The sequence below is a fragment of the Homo sapiens genome, chromosome 6, assembly GCF_000001405.40.
Source record: "Homo sapiens chromosome 6, GRCh38.p14 Primary Assembly".
NCBI classification, from domain to species: Eukaryota; Metazoa; Chordata; class Mammalia; order Primates; family Hominidae; genus Homo; species Homo sapiens.
Window position 1 is genome coordinate 44790805 of NC_000006.12, and position 22716 is coordinate 44813520.

At 43.0% G+C, this 22716-nt stretch overlaps 1 protein-coding gene and 1 long non-coding RNA gene across 10 annotated transcripts in view; one reads left to right on the top strand and one right to left on the bottom strand.

The window, feature by feature from the left end:
- LOC101929770 (uncharacterized) overlaps window positions 1–22716 on the top strand; it is a 105175-nt gene that overhangs the window by 62869 nt on the left and 19590 nt on the right. The window lies entirely within an intron of this gene.
- Window positions 18253–22716, bottom strand: part of SUPT3H (SPT3 homolog, SAGA and STAGA complex component) — a 568878-nt gene continuing 564414 nt past the window's right edge. For all 6 annotated transcript variants that reach the window (NR_146632.2, NR_146634.2, NR_146633.1 and 3 more), the window contains one exon: window positions 18253–18697. The gene's annotated coding sequence lies outside the window, so the exon portion shown is untranslated. The remainder of the gene's footprint in view (window positions 18698–22716) is intronic.

Consider the following 22716-nt stretch of genomic DNA (forward strand, 5'->3'; position numbering starts at 1 on the left):
ATACATACATATGTTGTAGAAGTATAAAAACACTTGGAAATGTTAAATACCAAATTCAGGTAACCTCGGGGGAAAAGGAGTGGGGAATGGAATTAGGGGAGGGTACACAGGGACTCTCAATTGTGTTATAATGCTTCATTTAAAAACAAAAGATATACACTTTGGGAGGGCCTGAGGTGGGAGGATGGCTTGAGGCTAGGAGTTCAAGACCAGCCTGGGCAGTGTAGTGAGACTCATCTCTACAAAAAATTTAAAAATTAGCTGGGTTTGGTAGTCGCAGCTACTCAGGAGGCTTAGATGGGAGGACTGCTTGAGCCCAGGAGTTTGAGGCTGCAGTGAGCTATGATTGCATCACTGTAATCCAGCCTGGGCAACAGAGTGAGACCCTGTCTCAAAAAGTAGGCAATTTTTGCAAAATATAAAAATTGAACAGGGCTGGGAGGTGGGTATGTTACTATACTTTTCTGCATGCAGGGGCCCTGGTTGCACCCCAGATTTGCCACTAATTCACTATGTGACTTTGGGCAAGCCATACCTCTCTTTAGGTCTCAGTTTCCTCATCTGTAGAATGAGAGGTTTGGCCAGATCATCCAGTGTCCCTTTTGTGGCTCAAAGAATTGAAAGGAAGCTTAGGGGTGCTTATGTCATGAGCTTCCTGAGCAAGTGTCCAACGAGACTGGGGAAAGGCAAGTCAGTAGAGAGCGCCTCTCTCAGGAAGGAGGCTGGCCTGGCATCTTCCTGAGCCTGCTCATGTCCTCAAACTAGGGAGCTGCCCAGAGTATGGAGGGCAGAACTCTCACCACTCACACAGTTCACCACTCAGCTTTCCTAGTGGCCCAAGGGCAGACAGGCAGGATTGCTGAACTGGGCGTCTGGTGATCAGGACTCCAGACCCAAATCCTATTAACTGGCTGTGTGACCTTGGAAAATTACTTCATTCTTTGCTTCATTAGTGAAAAAAGTAAGAATGGTACTCCTCCTTGTCCCCCGCTCCCCCAAGGAGGGGGCGTTGTGACAATTGAACCCTGTGAAATTACTGTAGAATGGAAGGCACTGCTGTCTTTGTCCTCTCCCAAATCCTCAAATCTGGATTTTCTTCTATTAATATAACAGTTTGTCTTACCCAATCTGGACAAAGGGTTCCCTCCCTGCTCTACCCACTCTGCTCTTCCACTCCTAACCTGCACTTACTTTTGGAACAGAAAGACTGTCCCCAGCTACATAGGAGTTTGTGGATTCATTCATTCATTCAGTAAATATTTATTGAATGCTGGGACTGTGCTAGGTGTTTGGAACACAAGGTTTCTGCTCTCATAGAAGTTATATTCTGGTGAGGGGAGACAGAAAAGAACAAGGTAAATAAGATGACACTGAATGATATAAATGAAGTGAAAGTGTGACATGGCAGAGTGGGCCAGTGGAGGGGAGCTAGTTGAGGTCAGGGAAGCCTCTCTGAGGAGGTGACTTTGAGCTGAGGTATAAAATCAGGAGGGAGTCAGCCATGCTGCTCTGTAGGAAGGTAAGCATGGCAGCAAGAAGTTAGTAAGATGATGATGGATTCCAGGAGCTCAGGTCAGAAGTAACGAGGTCTTGGATCAGGACTGTTGCTGTGGAGATGGAGAGAGATAGATGAATAAGGGCAATATTTTGGCTTGATGTATTGGATGTGGGATTTAGGGGAAAGAGGGTGATTGAGGGTGACTCCTTACATTTCGAGTTCCAGCACTTGGGTGAATGTTGGGGCCATTTACTGAAACCAGGAAGAACAAATTTGTGGCAGAAGATAAAGAGTTATCTTTTGGCTTTTAAATGAGATCTTTTTTGTTGTTGTTTTTTTCTGAGACAGAGTCTCGCTCTGTCTCCCAGGCTGGAGTGCAGTGGCGAGATGGCTCACTGCAAGCTCCACCTCCCGGGTTCACGCCATTCTCCTGCCTCAGCCTCCAGAGCAGCTGGGACTACAGGCGCCCACCACAGCGCCGGCTAATTTTTTTGTATTTTTAGTAGAGACGGGGTTTCACCGTGGTCTCAATCTCCTGACCTCATGATCCGCCCGCCTCGGCCTCCCAAAGTGCTGGGATTACAGGCGTGAGCCACTGCGCCTGGCCTAAATGAGATCTTTTAAGTGAAGACATCATGTAAGTGGTTGGATATATCAGTTTGATGCTCATTGGAGATGTCAGAGCTAGGGATATCTGGCAGTCACTAGCAAAGCGATGGTGTTTAAAGCCATAAGACTAGATGTGATCTTTTAGGAAGATACTGTAGGGCCAAGCACTGGGAATCTCAACATTAAATGTTTGATCAGAGGAGGAAAAGCTGCGAAGGAGACTGAGAATGAATAGCAACTGAAGTGGGGGAAAAGTGGGCATGGATGGTGTCACCGACATCAAGAGTATTGAGGATGAAAAAGGAGGGGGCGATCAACTGTGCCAAATGCTGCTCAGAGGCCAGGAAAGAAAAGAAGAGAGAAATAATGACTGGATTGGCGGTGTGGAGTCCCTGAAGACCTCAATAGGAGATGAGGAAGACTTGGAAGATGGGTTTTGGAGTGGGGAGGAGTTGGAGCACGTGCTCCCATACTTCTTAGGGAGGAGGCAGCAGGCCATGTGACTCCACGCCCGGCCACAGATGAGAGGCACAGGAATAGACTTTACCCAAGTAGAGCCAGTTGGATTGTCTGTTCCAGGACAGAGGCCTCAAGATGCCGTGACTCCAGTTGATTGATCAGTGCCTCTGGGCCTGGAGTGCCTGTTTTTGTGCTAAATATAAGAGGGCAGTGGTTCACCAATATCCTTGCTTAGGTAAAGATCCTAGGATTCAGTTCTATGCCAGAGACGGTGCTGGGGCCTTTACTTCCACACTCTGCCTCCTTCTGCGTGTCATTTCTCTTTGGGGAGCTCATGAGTGTCCTGTGCCATTACATTAAATGCAAATTAGAATAGGGTGAACAGCGTGTTAGAACATTACTCCTGCTGGAACAATTGTCAGGCCATGTGCAGGCTGCCGTCAATGGGAGAGCCTTGCTGACCAATGAGGCTACCCAGTGAGCTTCTGGATAGGCAAAGAATGGTGACCGGAAGCCTGTGGGTGTTGACTTGACAGTTTCTGGACAAGACTCTACTTCCACTTTCCCACTCTGGCTCCTGCCAGTTTGCCTCATCATGTTCCCGTGGTGCCATCCATTTTGCAGCCTGTGGAACCATTCACCTCTGGGGTCTGCTGGTCTCTTTCCACACCTAATAATCTGTGCCATCAGTCTGGATTATGGCATCAGTCCTGTTCAGGATTTTGCCTTTTGTGTTTCCATACCACAAAACTGATTAAGGCCCAGCAGACTCTTTTGCTTCCACATTCGCTTGGTTCTTGCCAATCAAAAGCCCTGGCTTTCAAGACTAACGTTTTTGCCATCAGTGTCAGAAGTCTCTTTTCCAAAAGTGGGCATGGAGGAGGGTTTCTTTGTTTCCCTTCCTTTTAGATTGACAGCCCCAACATTCCCTGAACAATGGATGCCACTGTCTGAACAGGATCAGGTCTAAAGAAAGTTAATTATTCAAGATGTGATCTGACCTCATAAGAGAGAGGATGCTGGTGGGCAGAACTAACGGAGAGAGTAAAAGAGGTGCAGGGTTAAAGAGGAAGGGGAGACTCTGAGAGGCTGTGTGGGGAATGAGAGGGAGAAAGATGTTGCTGTGTTTCCTATAGCTAGCTGGTTCCAGCTCAGCCCCTTATTAGATCTGCCTTATTTACTGCCCTGACTCCTTACACCAAACTCACTTTTCCTTAAGCCAGTGTGAGTAGGCCTTTCTTTCTTGCCCACTGAGGCAGTGTGAATGACCCAGGGAGCTCATTTGGCTGATGTGTGCGCCAATGAAGCTGGTGACCACACAGATACTTTTCATGGGGCAGGGTGTGGCAAATGCTTTTATAGACATTTAATCCTCACTCTCAGAGACAAGTCAGAGCTCACAGTCACTTCCACTGCCAAAGGAGTGTGTGAGTTCAATGAATTGGGTTTTAATTCTGCCATCTTTCTGGGTTTGCTGTAGTTTCTTGCATAGAGGTCAAGTTCTTAGAGCATGGAGGCTATATCTAGTGATCACGGCCACAGTAGATGCTCAAGAAATGTTTAGTAAATTGTTGATTAGTTTTTTTCTAGAGAGCGCCTTTTACTTCTAGTTCAGTGCACCCAGAAAGCACTCAGCACCAAAAAAGGGAGCCTGGGAGCCATCTCCCTAACCCAAGACATGTGTCACTCTTGGTGGTCGCAGGTCTGAGACCTCCAATCTCATGCCACACCACAAAACCACTCTTCCATTGTCTCCCACAAGCCCTTCTTCTTCCTTTGCTCACTACCTACCCTGTAGTAGTTTTTAAAAACTCATTTATCGTGGAAAATTTCAAATATATAAGTAGACAGAATAGTATAATGAAACTCAGAGCACTCCTCTCCCATTTCAACAGTTATCATCGATATTTTTCCAATCTTTCATTTATTCTCCACCACTTTTATTTCTTAAGCATTTAAAAACAGATCCCATAGGTATTCATTTTCTATTAGTGCTGATGAAATTACCTCGGTGACTTAAAACAACACAAATTTATTATTTTACGGTGTCTGGCAGGGCTATGGCCCTTTCTTGAGGCTCCGGGGGAAAATCTGTTTCCTTGCTTTTTCCATCTGCAGGAGGCAGCCCACATCCCGCATCCCGCAGCCCACAGCCCGCATCCTGCATCCTTTGTGTTATGGCCTCTCTTCTCTATCACTTATGTGATTAGATTGGGTGCACCTGGATAACCCAGGCCGATCTATCTGAAGATCCTTAATTTAATCATGTCCACCAGGTTCCTTTTGCCATGCAAAGTAACACATTCACAGGTTCCAGGGATTAGAACACAGGCATCTTTAGGAGTCATTATTCAGCCCACTACACTAGACATTATGTAATTCACCCTAAATAATTCAGTGTGGATCTCCAACTGTTAAGGTATATCTCCATGCCATTATCATACCTTAAAAATTTAAAAATAAATAGTAATAGCCAGTCCATCGTCAGTTTCCTGATTTGTTATAGCCTTCTTGCAGTTGGTTTGTTCAAATCAGGATCCAAGCAAGGTCCACACATTGTATTTGGTCGTTTTATCTCCTAAGTCTTTTTTATTCTTTAAAAACTCCCTTATCTACCACCTCTTTTTAATATCTACCACCTCTTTTTAATACCTTTGATTTGGTAGAGATATCGGGTTATGTGACCTGAAGGAGGTTCTACATTTTTGATTTGGTTGATTGCTTCCTCATGGTATTGTTTGGTTTGTTCCTCTGTCCCTTGGATTTCCTCTACACTGCTACTGAGTGTTGATCAGATTCAAGTTTGTTTGGCAGTACTTCAGAGGGAGTATATCACATTATGAAACACACAGTGTTCAGCTGCCCCCCCTTTACTGATGCCAAAACTGACTGATACATTCAGGTGGTGTCCACCTGTCCCTTCCACTGGAAAGCTCCCCATCAACCTTTCATCTGATGATTTTGGGACCTTCAATGATTGTTGCTTGATACATTATTTCATTAGGAGTTGCAAAATGGTGATTTTTATATTTCTATTTTTCTTTTTTTGCACTTATTATTTGGAATTCTTCTAAAAAAATTTTCCCTAATAACAGTTTAGTTTCTCCAAAATCCAGTTCATGCAGGAAAGACAGGATAAATGCTTAATTCCTCTCAATTTTTAAAAGCAAGTTTTCAGAATAATGAGTTGGTGGCTTAGTAACTTGAAAAAAGGTACTGTAAATTTTCATTGTACAATTGTTCTGAACCCATGGATGTATATCAGATATATATATTATTGGGTGTGTTTTAATCTTTTTGATGTTCATGTTATCCTATTGTAGGCCAATAGGAGCCCCTTCAAATAGACTCCGATGTCCTGTTTTAATGAGCAGACTCTCATTAAAATTAGTCTTTGATAGTTTCCCTGCTTTCTGGTTCAAGATATCAGGCTCATCTTGTATATTTATTGCACTAGACCTGAAGTCAAACATTTCTCTAAGAATGTTTGGTTTCTTTTGAAAGGAAATCGCATTTAGAGGCCACGATGTAGGAGCTTACTGCTACTGGGTTGTCAGTTTCTAAGCCTTTTCAATGGATAGAGCTAGGAAATATGCTTTGTTAAGAGAACAAAGGATTCACATTGATTTTCCAATGTGAATTAAAATTACAATAAGACACCTGAATGCAGTATAAGATCTCTTTGTAGTTCTTTTTGTCCTGATAATATACCTTACCAGAGATGTATAATCAAAATACTGTATTTTAAAGTGACCTGAAGTAATTCTTTACTCTGTGTGGCTGTATCACCAAATTGATACAAAGTTAAGATTATTTCAGTTTGTTTGAATAATTTTTAAATATTCATCTAAATGAATATTCATTCATTTGTATATTATATATCGCCATAGCAGTGATTACTACTGGGAACTTACCTTGTTCATTGTTTGTTTCTTATCTACTTCCCCCATTTAGCAGGTAAGCTCCGTAAGAGGAGGGTTCCCTTCTGTCTTGTACCCTGCTTATCCCCAGTACCTGGAATAATTTCTGACATGTAATACACCTTCATAAGATGCCCATAAGATGGAAGCTGCTTTCTCATACATATCCCAACAGTGAGAGGTAGCATTATTATCCCGAATTAACAGATGAGGAGGCTCAGGCTCATGCAGGATAATTGCTCATACAGGGTTTCACATGTAGTCACAAGTGGAAACTTGAGGGAGGCTGGGCTGGTGGATAAGATTCTGGGCTTCCAGTAATTCTAGATTTGGATAAATTCAATTCCTGAGTAGAGAAACAGAGGCCCTAATGCCCTTGGTTCCTGGAAAAGGAAGCTGTATGGAGAACTTCTTCACAGATGCAGGAAGCAAGGCAGGCCTGGGTCTCCCAGTGACTTCACCCCCTTGCACTTAAGCCATATTAAAAAATCCTCCCTACTTTTAATTTGCAACAAGAAAAAGGACTTATCCCAGAAGCGGTTCCCTGTGGTAGAAGGAGCATCGATGGAAAGTCAGAGACTTGCTTTAGAGATCTATCTTCATTGCATTTTGCCTGTGTGCCCCTCAAGACACGCAATCTCTGCAAACCTCAATTTCCTCATTTGTAAAATGGACTGACAGTTTCAGCCCTGATTACTTCTCAGTATTGTTGTAGGATGAAAGGAGGCAGTGGATGAGAAAGCTCTTTGTGCATGTAAAAGGCTTTCTAGACAGAAGGGGTATGATTGTCTCTCCCTCTACTCTCTTTTCTAGTGGCATTTTATTAGAAATGTGTTCACCTCTGCCAAAGGCTTTCAAAGAAGTTGGCCAGAAATATTCTTACCCAGGAGGCAGGCAGATACTTTTTTGGAGGAAATTATCAAATGAAGAACAAAAAGAAAACCCCAAACCAGAGAGTGGATGGAATAATTGGCTTTTAGTGATTACTCACTATGGAAGGGGGAAAAAAAGTAAGTCTTCAGAATAAACAGTGGAGTTAGAAATTTATGCTGATGAAAACTGAATGTAGCAAAATAATGGGTCCCCCTCACTGACCACACGCTCTGTGCCAGTTGCATAACCAGCACTACCCCAAATCCTGCAAGACAGGAATTATCACCTCCATTTTATAGATGAGGAAATTGAAGCTCAAATAGGTCAAGTGACATGCCCAAGAATAGACAGCTGACCAGAACCAGAACCAGAACTCAAAGCCTATGAAGTTCTCACTCCTGTGTATCATCTTCAAGTCCAGGGAAGTTTGGCAAACTCTATTAAGTCATAAGGGTGAGAGAATTACACATTTAATGTGAACCTAGGTGGAGGAGGGCTTCACTTTACTTGGTTAAGGGAACCTGCATTCTCCCTGTGTTGTTGATGTGTGGTACAGTGCTTGGAACATAGAGGGCTCAATGAATAAAAGAGGAAAGACTGTTTCATAGAGAATTTTGGATGATCTACAGGAAAATGGAGTGACTATCATGCTTGCAGACACTTTTAAGAGGCATAGAAGCCAGTGCTCAGCTAGTGGCCGTATTTGGCTTCATGGCCTCAGGGCCAGGCCAAGGTGGGTGGATCATTTGAGGTCAGGAGTTCGAGACTAGCCTGGCCAACATGGTGAAACCCCGTCTCTGCTAAAAATACAAAGATTAGCTGGGCGTGGTGGCGGGTGCCTGTAGTCCTAGCTACTTGGGAGGCTGAGGCAGGAGAATCGCTTGAACCCAGGAGGTGGAGGTTGCAGTGAGCCGAGGTTGCACCACTGCACTCCAGCCTGGGTGACAGAGCGAGACTCTGTCTCAAAAAAAAAAAAAAAAAAAAAAAAAAAAAAGGAAAGAAGCCCCAAGCAAGTTAATCAAACCCCAAGCAAGTTAATCAAAAGCCACATGATTCACTCCAGGAAGTGCAATAAGACAGGCTGCCATTTTACCTTCTCCATTTCAGGGCCAGTAAAAATGCTGATGCCCCTCCTGGTTCCATCACGTTTGGGTTCATGAAAGCGAGATCAGCAGGAATGAGGAGACCTGTTTCAGACTGGGTTTCAGCACAAATTTATCGCATGCCTGCAGGCAAACCTACATTACAAAGCCTCAGTTTTCTGGACTATAAGTGGACAGAGATGCCAAAGTCACCACTGAGCACTTTCTAACCCCTCAGGAAGAGGTCTAGAACTTTGGCCATGTTCTATTTTTTATTTGCTTTTTAGCACGCACAAGTATTTGCTCTTGTGATTGTTTTTAATCTCCAGCGGTACCTCTCCTAAACCGTTCTGAGCCCCCTTTTCTGTTTAGGAGAACCGCATAGCCATCTCCAGTTCACTCCATGGTTCAATCTGTGTGGCCTTAAACCCCTCTTCACCTCAGATTTTCATCTGTAAAATGGAATAATAACATCAATCTCAGGACTGTGGTAAAGATTAAATAAGATATAAATATAAATGTGTGTATATTTGAGATAGGTGTTATATTTTAAGTACTTTTAGACAGGATTTTTTTCCCTTTTTATTACAGAAAGTTCTGTCCTGTTCTCTGATTTCTTTTCCCATTCCATCATCAGAACACAAATGACAGGAGTCAGTTGGAACCTGGAACTTCTAATTCAGAAATCTTAACTTGAAACCACAATAGGGAGAAATGTTTTCCTCTGGTTTGAGACAAAGTGACAAAGAATGATGACTGCAAGTTGCTGGAGTTTAATTATTACACATAATTATATACTTATTCTATATAAATACTTTTGCTACTTTTATTTTTCCCTAGAGGGGAATAAATGACTTAATTCTCTTTCCATTCTTTTCCTGATTGGAATTTTTACCCGTTGACTTCCCTGTTTCTCTCTTATAAAACATATCTCAGGTGATGAAACCTTGGAGCGGAATGAACAGCTTGAGGAAACTCAGGGCTTCTGTAGAAAGCAACAAGCTGTTGCTAGGGAGGCTGGAGAGAAGTGTATTTGTTTAACATCCTTATTCCTGCCTTGCTGAGTCCAGTGGCATGTTATTTCCACTGGGTGGGAGCCAACATTGAGTTCCTCCCTGTTGTGTCCAACCTTGAACATTTCTCTGCGATTATGTTTCATCCAGGGATTAGCAAAATGCAGAGGGGAAAAAACCTGAGAAGGTGTTTGGCACGGGGCTTAGTGCTGCGTTCGCACAATCTGCTTGCATTCTCGGCTAATTGGAGAACAGCAGCAAACAGAAGTGGCTCCGAAGCTCACGGGAACTCCTTATCTTAGCTTCTATAAATGGTTTATTTATTGAGTGTCAAGGTTTTTTGTTTGTTTGTCTTTTATAATCCCCAAGGAGACCCCAACTAAACACACAGTTCTCACTCCCTGCCTTGTCTTCACCATTACTTATCAGGAAATCTGAGAGCAGTGAGTGGAGCTAGGAATTCTCCCTTTCAGACTTGCCAAGTGTCATCACTTGGTGAATCTTGAAGATTCATTTTCCTTTTTTGTAAGTGGGATACACATAGCTGTTAGAAGAAGAAAAGGGGTTTCCAAATGAAAGATAAAGTTCTGTTACCTAAGATTTGCTTTTGGCAAAAGAAGTGCAAATTTCTGAGTTTGCCTCAGTCTGTCCATGGCTACCCCATCAAGACTTCAGAGTGGAGCTCTGTGGGGTCCACTCTGTGGGGCAGTGGGGTAGTGTCTGCCTGAGGTGCAGGATTGTGTCCAAGGCAACATCTGAGTGACTCTTCACCTCTTCTCTTCGCACCAGACTTGGCCTCCCTCGTGTTGCTGCTTGTCTTGAGCATAGAGCCCTTAGTGGAGACCTCAGTAGAGCAGACACGTGCCAGGAGGAAATAAAAAGGAGGCTGGCTCAGAAAAGAAAAGCAGTCCTCTCTGGGCCCAGGAGCCTGCACGCAACAGCTTCCACTCAAGCTTTCAGAACTCGAACCTTTTACAGTCCCTCTGTGAGGCCAGGGGGGAAGCAACACTTTAGCAGGTACTGAGCTGCCACCAAGTCGCAACAGAACTAGGAGCTCCAAGTTTCTTATTAAAACTCCAAGGCCGTTGGTTGCATTTAAATGAGCTGCAGCAGTCAAGTAGCAAGTGAGGTCACCAGCTGGTCCTGTAAAAACTGGTTGAGAGCTGTAGTCCTGGGGAAAAAAGCCAATAACCCCGAGATCTCAAGAACACATCAGGAGAAGGGAGAAAACAGATTGAAAGTGCAGGCAGTAGGTCTGAGGCTGGGATATGTAGCTTGAGACAAAGTGTGACAGTGGAAAGAGACAAAAGTTCTAAGGCAGGCTGGCAGGGAGACCCAGAGTTAACAAGGAATAAGATAATTAAAGCAGCATGAAATCTCACAAAACCATAGTCTGGAATGAAGTGTCTGAGGGTGTGTAGGGTACAGCATCTTGCTAGGATTATTTGGCTTAGAGGATTACAACACCGTGCTAGGGAGACAAGGAGACCGAGATGGGGTCAGGCTCCATATGGATTGTATAGCCCCACCCCTGCTCCCATCCTATGGCCACAAATTATTCCTTCCTTTGGAGGAAGCTATTTTAAGGGAACACCATTACCCCAAAGGGGATCATGAGTGTGAAATTTTCGAAATGATTCTGAACTTTGTATCAGAAGACCTGGATTCTAGTCTTCTAGTCCTAGGATTCTATCAGGATTCTAGTCCTGATACTGCCACTTACTAGCTCTTGGCAAGCAGCTTAACCTCTTAGAGTCTCTAGTTTCGTCATCTGGGAAGTGCATGCGTTGGATATATTATGCAAGATCACATAAGAGAAAGCGCTTTATAATTATAAAGACATTTAATTACTTACATGTAGAATGAGAAAAATAAAAGTTTTTTTTCTTTTTAATAGAGACAGGGTCTTGCTCTGTCACCCAGGCTGGAGTGCAGTGCTGTGATCATGGCTAAGTGCAACCTCTAACTCCTGAGCTCAAGTGATCCTCCTGTCTCAGCCTACCAAGTAGCTGGGACCAGAGGTGCACACCACTGCACCAGCTAATTTTTAGAATTTTTTTTTTTTTATATATAGAGACAGGGTCTCACTATGTTGCCTAGGCTTGTCTTGAACTTCTGGCCTCAAGTGATCCTCCCAGCTCGGCCTCCCAGAGTGCTGGGATTATAGGTGTGAGCCTGCACCTGGCCAATAAAAGCTATTAGTAGAGAGTTGGTAGATCGATTGCAAAAATATCCACACTTCACCACCCTTCCCTATTGCTGTGCCCTTTGCAGTGTCACTTTGCAGTTCCTCTCAGAAAGAGGTAGAGCCTACTTTCCCACCCCGTGAATGTAGGCAGGGCTTGTGGTATATTTTGGCCTTGAATGTGGCAGAAGTGACGTTGACATTGTACCAGTTCTGAGCCTAGGGCTCAAGAGACCCTCTCATGGAATCCTGCTGCCTCTATATGAACCACCCAGGGCCAGAAGGGTAAGACTACATGGAGAAGAGCCCACTTGTCTTAGCCACAGCCATCCTATGCCAGACGCAGTCACCTGACCCCTAAACAGATGATAGTGTCCAGCCAGGATCAGCAGAGCTGCCAACCAACACACAGAACGCAGATGCAGATGCACGAGTAAGTCACCTGAGACCAGAAGATCTCTGGACTCATCCACAATAATAAATGCATGTTGGTTTAAGCTACTGAGTTCTAGGATTTTGTTAGGTGGCAATAGCTAACTGATATGGACCTTGTGGAGTATTTTGCCAAAAATTAATCAATCAGAACTAATAGTTAAGGGCAAAGTCAGTATAAGTAATGGCAGTGGCACATGCAGTCCATCACAGAGAGGGGCAATATGGCCACCAGCCCTGAGGGTCTCTTCCTTGGGTCACACTCTCCGGCAGGAGGATGGGATGGCACATCAAATGATGTCTTGGTCATGTCTTAGGTAGACTTGGGGTTCAGAACAATGTAATATGAGTCTGTGTGAGGCAGTTTCTGAAAGGAAAGTCCATGTTTCTTTGAAGTTTATAAAAACACAATTGTAACAATGAGTGAAGTATCTCTGTGGAACCTGCTAAAATAATACGCAGCATTGTAAATGTAATAATTTGAAGTCAAAGTCCCCCTTCTTGACTTACAGGTTTACCAAATTAACCTGCGAAATTAACATCCTTCTTGCAAAGACAAAGAAACTTCCAAGAATGGACTGAAATGTCATGTGTCATCTCCAGCATAGCCTCAGCTCTGAGACATGCTGGGACTTCAGTGGAGGCTGCTGGGTGGGACGAAGTAGTCAAAAAATGTATGCTTCTGGAGTTAGGGTAGATAAAGGGAGTGTAGGACGAGCTCTAGTCCAAATTGCTGTCCCGAGTGTGTGATAAACAGAGCTCTGGTGTGGGGTGTCCATGCACAAGTCTGCACTGCTGAGTGGGGCATGGCAGGAGTCTCTGCAGAGGCAGTGGTCAGGAGGCTGGCTCCTGGGGACCTCCCCCAACAAGGTGAAGCTGCATCATAGCCAGAGGATAAAGGGGTAGGAAACAAGAGTGTCCTGGCAGTGGTGGAGGGGGTGACAGGATGGGTCCTTGCATCATTCCAGTGGACTGGGGCAGGGACTGGACTAAGACTGCAGGTTCATGGCCCTGAGTTCCTCTGGAAGTCTGTGGCAATCATGGATGACCAGTGAAGAGCATCTGAGCCACTGGTCATTCTGTGCAAATGGTAGACGTCACTGAGTGATCAGTGGCAGGTAGGTATTTCACAAAGAACTTGTGGAAGAAAGTGGAGCACCAGTGGGTCCATGCCCAGAAATCAGAATACTCGCCACAAAATATCTAGAGCCATCAGGATGGGAGAAGAATGGATGTGGAGGGAGCGGCAGGCTCCCTTGGCTGAGAAGATACCACCTTTGAGGGTGGTGGGGACCAGCACTTCATGTTCCTGTGCTCATCTCGGAAAGTTGTGAATGGATCTTAGAGGACCCAAGACTTCTTTCTGCTCTAAACTTCAGTGATTCCATGATTTTATGCAGATTTAAGACCAGCTAGGCCACCCTCAGGCTGCATTTCCTCCAGTGCAGAACTAAACCAGCCCCTACTTTGGATGGAACACATAGCTCTCTCTCTAGATACGGGTTCTGCAGGTTTCTGGCTGAAAATCGTTCCTCAATTTTCAATCAGCTGTGGCTGATTCTGGAACTCTGAAAGGTTCCAGACTTGCTGTCTAGGATGAAAGACCTTATTCTGTAGCACTTTTTCCATAGAAGCAATGACCTCATTTATATTCACTGCTGACCCAGCCAGCATTTAAGGTGCAGAATCTGCCCCTTCAGTATGGCAAGTCCTGATTCCTCCAGGGCCAGCCCCAGGGCTTCTGCAAGCACACACAGTGACTTTGTACAAACAAGCCAAATGGATCCTCATGAGGCAGAAGAATTACGAAAAAGTGCCTCCTCTAGGTAGGGGAATGATAAAACAACGCTCCCTCTGAGTGGACCTTGCTCCTGGCTGACACAACTCCTGTGCCAGGATGCAAGGCTTGGCAAGTGAAGGCCAAAATGAAAGTTAGTCTCCATCAATGCCTTCCTGGCCTGGTTTCTTTGTGTAGGGCACAGTCTGTAAAACTCTGCCAGGTCCTGTTTGCTGCTGCCTAGAACCAAACAGCCTCACACCTTGCTCTTACAGGGCCTGTGCCCACTTAGGACAAGTGGGATTCAAGTCGAGTGGCCAGGAAGTCTGAAGGGAGTTGAGGAGTAAGAAGGCATGAGGAACAACCTCCTTCATTAGACCTGTGCTCCTGTCCTGACAGACTTCTTTGAACTTCTTGCCACTTGCTGATTAAGTGACTGAGGGGACTCAGGTGAGCTGGAGGACACCCCCGTCTTTCTCCAACAGGTGAAACAAGGTGGTTCTTTTCTGTAAGACAAATGTGGGTAATAAACAGAAAAAAGGCCAGCAAACAGATCAAGTTCCATAAAAACAAAAGCAATCAGTGCACCCTCTATGACGTAGGTTCACAGAAATGACAGACCAAGTGTGTGAGACACGTCCTGTGCAGGGACACGTGTGACCTTCCGAGCTGTGGGGGAAGGTGCAGCTCAGCGCAAACCGTACTCAAGATGAGTTTTATTTCCCTTCTGGTGTATCTCCAGAGCATGCTGGCAAGTGAGTGAGTCCACTGTTTCTTGCTTCTCGGCATCAGTGACATCATCACTTAATAAGTTAGGGAATCACAACCACATTTCAAAGAATCATTCAGTTTTCTCATTAAGATTCTATAGGATTTTTTTTTTCCACAGCAACAGTCTTGCCAAAATAATGTTAAAAATAGACCTGGTAATACTTTTCACATTTGTAGGCAGTCATGAATGTTTAACAGTGTTTATGTCCAGCAGATGCACATAACTTAAGAATTAGGCATGAGATTTTACACAGTAATACAGAGTACATATATTGTCAAAAGGATTTTTTTTTTTAAATAAAGCAAATACCAAGCCTGGGGAAGAAAAACCTGTTCCCACTTCATCTTCTTGTAGGAAAGTGTTTAATGCATAAAAAATTGGGAGGAAAAGGCATATGTAAAATGTTTGTGAAAAAAGTTTTCAACAGTGATTAAATTTGGATATTCTGACTCACTTAAGTGCATATGGTAAATTCTCAAAATTCAAGGGTCTGAATTCTGGCTCCCGAAGTAGAGAATTATTTTGGAGACAGGTAGCGTCCTATGCTTGTCTGAGTCTGCATGGCTTGGGAAAGGGACACATAGGTTTGGGGCGAGCTGAGAGGTGGTTAAGGTCAGAGGTCCCTCTGCTGAGAAAATGCACCGAGTCTGACTGCCTGGAATTTCTCAGTGAGATAAGCTCTACAGGTCACTGGCCTACAGAAAATGAGATGCTACCTTAAAAGAGGTAAATGAAGTAAAATGTAATTATAATGATTTTAAAACAGAAGTTCTACACATTAATAACTTTATTTGGGGGACTGTCCCTAGTGAGTCCCAATTAAATCACTGGCTCCCAAAAAAACTGGCCTAGATGGCCTTTAAAGAATCTTTTTACAGCTGGGCCTACTTGACATTTTGGAAATGTAAACGTGCCTCCATGCATTTGGAGGATGGCTACATGGATGTTTCCTGAGTTCCCAGCTCTCCTTTTTTATTAATAGTTGTAACTGATCAACAGACGATACAGAATTGATGGCTGTATAAATATAGCTCTTAAATATAGTCATCGTAACTTTCTGATTAGCTTTGGCTGGAACTTTTTTAACTTCTAGCCGTACATCTACAAATGGAAGTTTTCTTGCTTTGGGGGTAATCACATAGATGGAGATTAACTCTCTTTTTCTCCCAGGCTCTAAAAATTATTTTGACCAAAATGTTTAAGTCAGGGGTTTCATGTAGACACAGCTTACATGAGTCATTAAGAATTTTATTGGTTAAAGTAGGCATATTTTTTTCCTAGTAGACATAATGACATAACAGTAATAAAAATGTAATATTCAAGTAATTGGTGTAATGTAATTACAGTTTGGTCATAAAGTAAGATTAGAAGTCTGAGATGGCTGTTTTGTGGGTGTGCACTTTAGCGTCTGAATGTAGTCTTCGAGGTGCCTGCCCGGTCTCCCTGGAATGCTAGTGCAGTTCATCACATAACCAGGTGGCTGGGCGCCCAGCTGAGCCAGCATTATCTGTGAGTCCTGTTTACCCAGTCTGCCCTGTCTGGACGTTGGTGTCCTGCCTGCTTCAGATACCTAACCATCACAGGAACTGAAAACAGTGTTTCTGGTTTTATATAGACAACAAAAGGGGGAAATAAAGGCCAGGGTCCTCACTAGGCAAGGGACAGACGGAGTTCCAGTGCCATCCTAGAATGGCCACCTCTTTGCCCACATGATGTTGTAGCTCCCCATCTCCCTTAAATTGCAGTGCTTGGAGCAGAGAGCTCCCATATGCCTCTGATGTGCTACAGTGTCAGCCTGTTCTGGCTTTTGGAGGGAAGAACAATTTCCAGATTGAGGCTGAACAAAAGGAGCTGTCTTAGGCATTTGACCAAAATATATTTTATCAAAGGATTTGCCATCATTGGAGATACTCTTTCAACTATTATAAATGAATTTCTCCCTGTTTGCATTTCTTATTTAGTGGCATGGCCTGCAGAAACACAAAATTTAAGCAAGAGTACTTATCTATTTTTGAACACAAACATAACATTTTAATTAACAGTACTTACAATAAATAATTTAAAGAACATCTGATTTCTTTTTTACTATTTTTTCCTTTTTAATTAATCAGTAATTTGTGGGGAGACAATCTGAGACTACATAAACCACTTCTTATCAGTCTTCCTCTACCATGGATGATCTTTTAATGCTACTATTCCTTCTTATTTATTAGTTGGCATTCTTCTGCAAAGAAGACTTTTCACTTTCTCCTCTGTTTACTTATTTATACTGCATGGACTCATGAATATTTATTCGATGGGTGACAAACTAGTACTATCATTTATTTTGATGCTCAAATTGTCCCAGATTTGGCCAGTAAGAGCCTCTTCCAGCTCCATTTTTGACCTCTCCCCATGGTTCTTTGACCAGTTCCTTATTTTCTTATGCAATAAAATATTCAAGGCTCATTTTTCCAGGCATCTTTCCCTGCCCTGGTTCTGGGATCAGGCATTTCTCCAAGGAACCCTGAATACCAGTGGGGAATGATATTTAGAAACTAAGATCTGGGCACTAGGTGTGAAAGATCATCACTTTTTAAATGTGTAAAATTTATTTGGAAAAATTTAGGGTGCTTATAAAGAGCTAAGCATGTGCCACAGGTGAAGGCTGCCTTTGGATCCTGAAAGGGTTGGAATTCTAAGAGAAATCACCCCCCGCCCTCACCGGCCCTTGCCAAATAATGTAAATATGTCACGTAGTATGCCAATTACAGTTTCTGCAAATTGATAAGATCTTTAGGCTTTTCTCCTTCTAAGCAAATACTGTTGTCTAAACCTATTTCAAAAGAACATTAGTATCACTCCTAACTGACAGCTCTTGATGTCTGCTAACTCACAGTTCAGTCATTCATCAACGGCGCAGAGTGATTCACAAACTTAATTTCTTGCCAATATCAGTGACTTTAAACATCCATTGTCTCCGAACCCCCCTTTATGAATATAAATCACACACCTACAAAGGCCTGTCATGAATGCAGCGGGCCACATGCAGTATGTCTGTGCCTCATCATTCCTTCTGGCATGTCACCTTAGTAAACAATGTATAGAGTCTCATTCTAACCCTTGAGTCTGTGGTCTTGTTTTCTACAATGGTGGCTGCTGAGCTGAGGCCCCAAGGAAGGTGAGAAGCCAGCCACACTGAGCCAAAGGGCTGGCAACAGTGACTGGAGCAAGGCTGGACATACAGGATTCCCTGTCTTTAACTCCTTTAAGTAAAGTCAAGGGAAAGCAGAGTTTGGTATCCGACTGATGCAGACTGTTGGCTTTTACTTGGCATGTACTTTCTTACTGCTTGAGAAATGTTATTTTTTCCTTAAACTTCTTTCTCATTAATCTTGTGTTAAGAGTGGTCTAACCCTGTTAGTTTGGTAGGCAGCTTCTGTTCCAATTAGCATATATTTCCATAAGTGTTGAGTGGGGAAGGGAAGGAAAACGCAGAATTTCTCAACTATTGACCTTGAGGGACTTGTAGGAAGGTGTGTCTGACATGCTTGTAATACAACTGACTCTGAAAAAGCTCTAGTAAATGGTTAAGTTATGGTTGGCTCTGATGATTTATGCTGAACAGAATAAACTATGATGGAGACATAAAATATTTCTAAGCTTACACTTTAGTCACTCAATATACATGAAACTCAATCTTCTTACTTAAAAAACAGATAGAGCACTGAGAATCTCCTAAGGAAATCAAGTTGTTTATTAGTCTTGTGTTCACCCATGTCATGCATACGAAGATTGAAGAGCTGAAAACGCTTTGATATTCTCCACTGTAAGGCACTGTGTGATACCCCGCTTAAAACTATTCCTACCATTCCACCAAGGGACTTTCCTTTCCACTGACAAGTTGAAGGAGGAATTCAGAGACAGTGCTTCCGTAGCCAAATTGTTTCATTGTTCAAGTATATTGATAGGGTGGTTGCCTAAGCAGAAAATGCAGAATTAAACGAAGGAAGCTTGTTTTGAGAGCAGGTCTGTCACCATCTATGGTACATATGACAAGGAAGTAAACAGGAAGTGCTGAATTGGCTTGGTTTACTCCTACAGGGACAGAGAGAAATAAAATCAGTGTTTACCAAATGGAAAAGCACAAAGTTGGTACAGAGAGAAATGTTATTTTCAGGCTTCTAAAAAGGCATTACAAATAACACAAAGTTTCAAACCTATAATTAAAAACTATTTTTAAAAAGTTTTGATTAGGTTCCCTTCAAAAATAGGCATTTTAGGCTGAAATAAATTCTTAAAGTTTTGACTCCCACTTATGCTGGTTTTTCCATAATCCACACTCCATAAATGCCCCTCTTAAATAACAGATTTCAGGAGTAAAAAATATGTCTTAAAGTCATCTAGTAGAACTTCAATGCTCCCACTTAATAGATGAGGAATCCAAGACCCCAAAGTTAAAGCAATTTCTCAAACACCACACAGCCATTAAGGGCAGGGAGAATTTAGGATCCAAGTTACTCATCAGGCAAGAGTTACGAATAGATATAATTTCTTAGTGCCAGATCCACGGAGGAAACAAACCTTGTGGTGAAGGGGCCAAATGTATTGTTGGTGTAGTTTTTTCCAGAAGCCAAGACTGGGCCTGTGGGTCCAAACCGAGTATACTTCTGTCCTTCAGCAGCTCTGGACAAGAGCTAAATACCATCTAAATGCCTGACTCCAGAATCATGAGAAATAAAAAAAATAATGTTGCCTTAAAGCCACTAACGTTTGGGGTGGGTTTGTTACACAGCAAAAGATAACTGAAACAGAAATAGGCAGGATCACCCCATGAGGCAAGGAAGCACATCAGCTGAGTTGTTTACTAAGGGCAAAGGCGATATGGACTGGCTAACAGAAGACGGAAGTTATAAATACTAGCAAGGACCATTGGACCAGTTACAGAAATGATGACAGTAGTGGTTGTAAGTATTTCTTTCTTACTTTAATATGAATACAGCATTTTTTTGGTATTAATTTTCTTTACTCCCCCACTTCCATTCCCTATCTTTAATAGAAGATGTGTTAATAGTGGCTAGCCATATAGCTCAGTATTTAAGTTACAGGATATTAAAGAGGGAGTGTGACTCAGAGAAAAGAGGAAAAAATATCACCCCAAAATGGATGTGTCATATAGGACTTAATAGCCTTTTACTAAAAAAAAAAAAAAATGCACTTTTGGCGGGGCATGGTGGCTCACGCCTGTAATCCCAGCACTTTGGGAGGCTGAGGCAGGTGGATCACGAGGTCAGGAGATTGAGACCATCCTGGCCAACATGGTGAAACTCCGTCTCCATTAAAAATACAAAAATTAGCCAGGCCTGGTGGCACATGCCTGTAGTCCCAGCTACTTGGGAGGCTGAGGCAAGAGAATCACTTGAACCTGGGAGGCGGAGGCTGCAGTGAGCTGAGATCGTGCCACTGCACTCCAGCCTGGATGACAGAGCGAGAGACTCCATCTCAAAAAAAAAAAAAATTTATATTAGAACAGTTTTACATTTACTGAATTGTGAAGACAGCACAAAGTTCCCATATACCCAACACCTACTTTCCTCTATTATTAGTAATTTACATTATGATACATTTGTCACAATTAATGAACAAATATTGGTATGTTATTTCCTAAAGCCCATACTTGATTCGGATTTCCTTAGTTTTTATCCATTGTCCCGTTTCTGCTCCAGAATTGCATCCAGGATGCCACATTACATTTATGTCATGTCTCCTTAGGCTCCTCTTGGCTATGATAGTTTCTCAGGCTTTCCTTGACAGTTTTGAGGAGTGTGGTCAGGTATTCTGTAATGCCTCTCAAGTGACATTTGTATGATGCTCAAGATTAGAAGGGGTTATGGGTTATTGGGAAGATGACCACAAAGGTATTTATACCCTTTTTGGAGGACAGGGTTAGCATGCATCATGTTAGGTGGAAGCATTTTGCTGTTGACTTTATTTGGAGGTTAAACATGGTTAAAAGATGTATGTATGGGTACCAAGTAGACAAAGGTTGGATAGACTGCAGTCATTGGTAGTGTGCCAACTTGGTGAAACTTAAACTACTTTCCCATTCCCTACAGGGTTCTGAGTTAGAGTTGGCCAAAAGGGAAATGTATGCAGATGTGGAAGGTGGAAATGAAGCAGCTATTGATCTTTGAAGGTCTTGCAGGTACAGAGAAGGCACAGAAATGCTGACAGGTTCTAGCTTGTCTTCACATTCTTCTACTCCACATTCAGTTCTGACTGAAGAGGCTGTTGACCAACAGTGGCTCCCAGCTTATGCCAGACACTCAGTGGTGGGCCTGCCAAGGTGGCAGTTATACAGAAGCATGGCTTCCTGCATACCTTCTCATAAGCCATCACTTTGCAGCCACTTTTGGCACTTGGTTGTTCTTTGTTTCTCACATTGATGGGTTGGTCTTTTTTTTTTTTTTCTCTGATCCTCCAACTTCCTTCCTATGCTTTCACTTTCCTAGTTCTTCTCACAACTGTATAAGGTCTGATTCCTGTAATCCTCATCCCATAGTACACAGTGGTTCTGATTCTGTGACTGAACCCTGACTGATAACTCAAGGTATGAGAGACTGATTTTCAAACTGCAAACAACTACAGAAGCTGGAAAAAAAAATACAAATGCAGTTGTGTAATAGTTTTCTATGATGCCGTAACAAATTACTACAAATTTAGTAGCATAAATACCACAAATTTATTATCTTACAGTTCTATAGGCCAGAAGTCCAGTATAAGTCTCATTAGACTAAAATCAGTGTTGTCAGACTATGTTTTTTTCTGGAGGCTATAGGGAAGAATCTGTTTCCTGTTCATTCAGATTGTTGGGAGAACTCAGTTTCTGTTTCTTCAGTACCAAGGTCTCCATTTTCGAGCCGTCTGTAAGCTGGGGCCATTCTAGGAGGCCATCATATTCCTTGGCTCGTGGCTCCTTTACTCTGTCTTCAAAGCTAGAACATCAAGTCATTTTCATGTTGCATCTCTCTTACCCATTCTTCTGCTTTTAAGAGCTCATGTGATTAGACTGGACCCATGTGGATAATCTAGGATAACCTCTCCATCTTAACTTCCTTTGATTAGCAACCTTCATGCCATCTGCAACCTTATTTCCCTTTTGCTATGTGATGTAACATATTCACAGGTTCTGAGATTTGGATATGGACATCTTGGGGTAGGGGTACAAATTATTTGAAGCATCAGAAAAAATCCAGTGTGGCCAGGACTTGAGAGAATAAGATAATGGAGAAAAGTCAGGTTCTCTTTTTTTCTCACGAAATTTGCCAATTAACTGTGAGACGAAGTGAGGCCAAACAGTCTGGGAATTATGGCAGTATCACTGGGCTGGGGAAGCAGAGGTTGGAGTTTGGGGCTGCCAAGGCAGTTGAGGGACCATGATTCCCTGACCAGAGGAAACTACAGAGAAATAAGTCTATAATTCTGCATGCAATTTCCCCTTGAAGCATATGTCAACTCCAAAGCTGTACATATGGTGGGGTGGGGGGTGAGAGCAGCAGACGGAAGGCTAAAAAGGTGAGCAAAAATTCCATCAATCTTATTGGGTTAGGGGTTAGATTTCAGAGCTCACCAGGGTTGAAGGGGCCTGGTAAACACCATAGGCTCTCAGCTGAGACCCTAGGGATATTTTCTAGGAATAAAGGCAAAGCAGAAATAGATCAACCTTGATCCAACTGTACCCCATCTGCCTGCCAGAAAATTATATCCTCTCTAGAAAAAATCACCATCCAGAGTTTCTTTAAGACAAGGTCTTGATCTGTCATCCAGGTTGGAGTGCGGTGGTGCAATCATAACTCACAGCAGCCTCAAATTCCTGAGCTTAAGGGATCCTCCTGCCTCAGCCTTCTGAGTGGCTGGGACTACTACAGGCACATGCCACCACGCCCAGTTAATTTTTATTTTTGTAGCGATGGGGTCTTGCTTTGTTGCCCAGGGTGGTCTTGAAATCCTGGGCTCAAGAGATCCTCCCCCCTACCTTGGCCTCCCAAAGTGGTGAGATTACAGGGGTGAGCCAGTGTGCCCAGCCCAGAGCGTCTATATCTTTTGCATATATGATG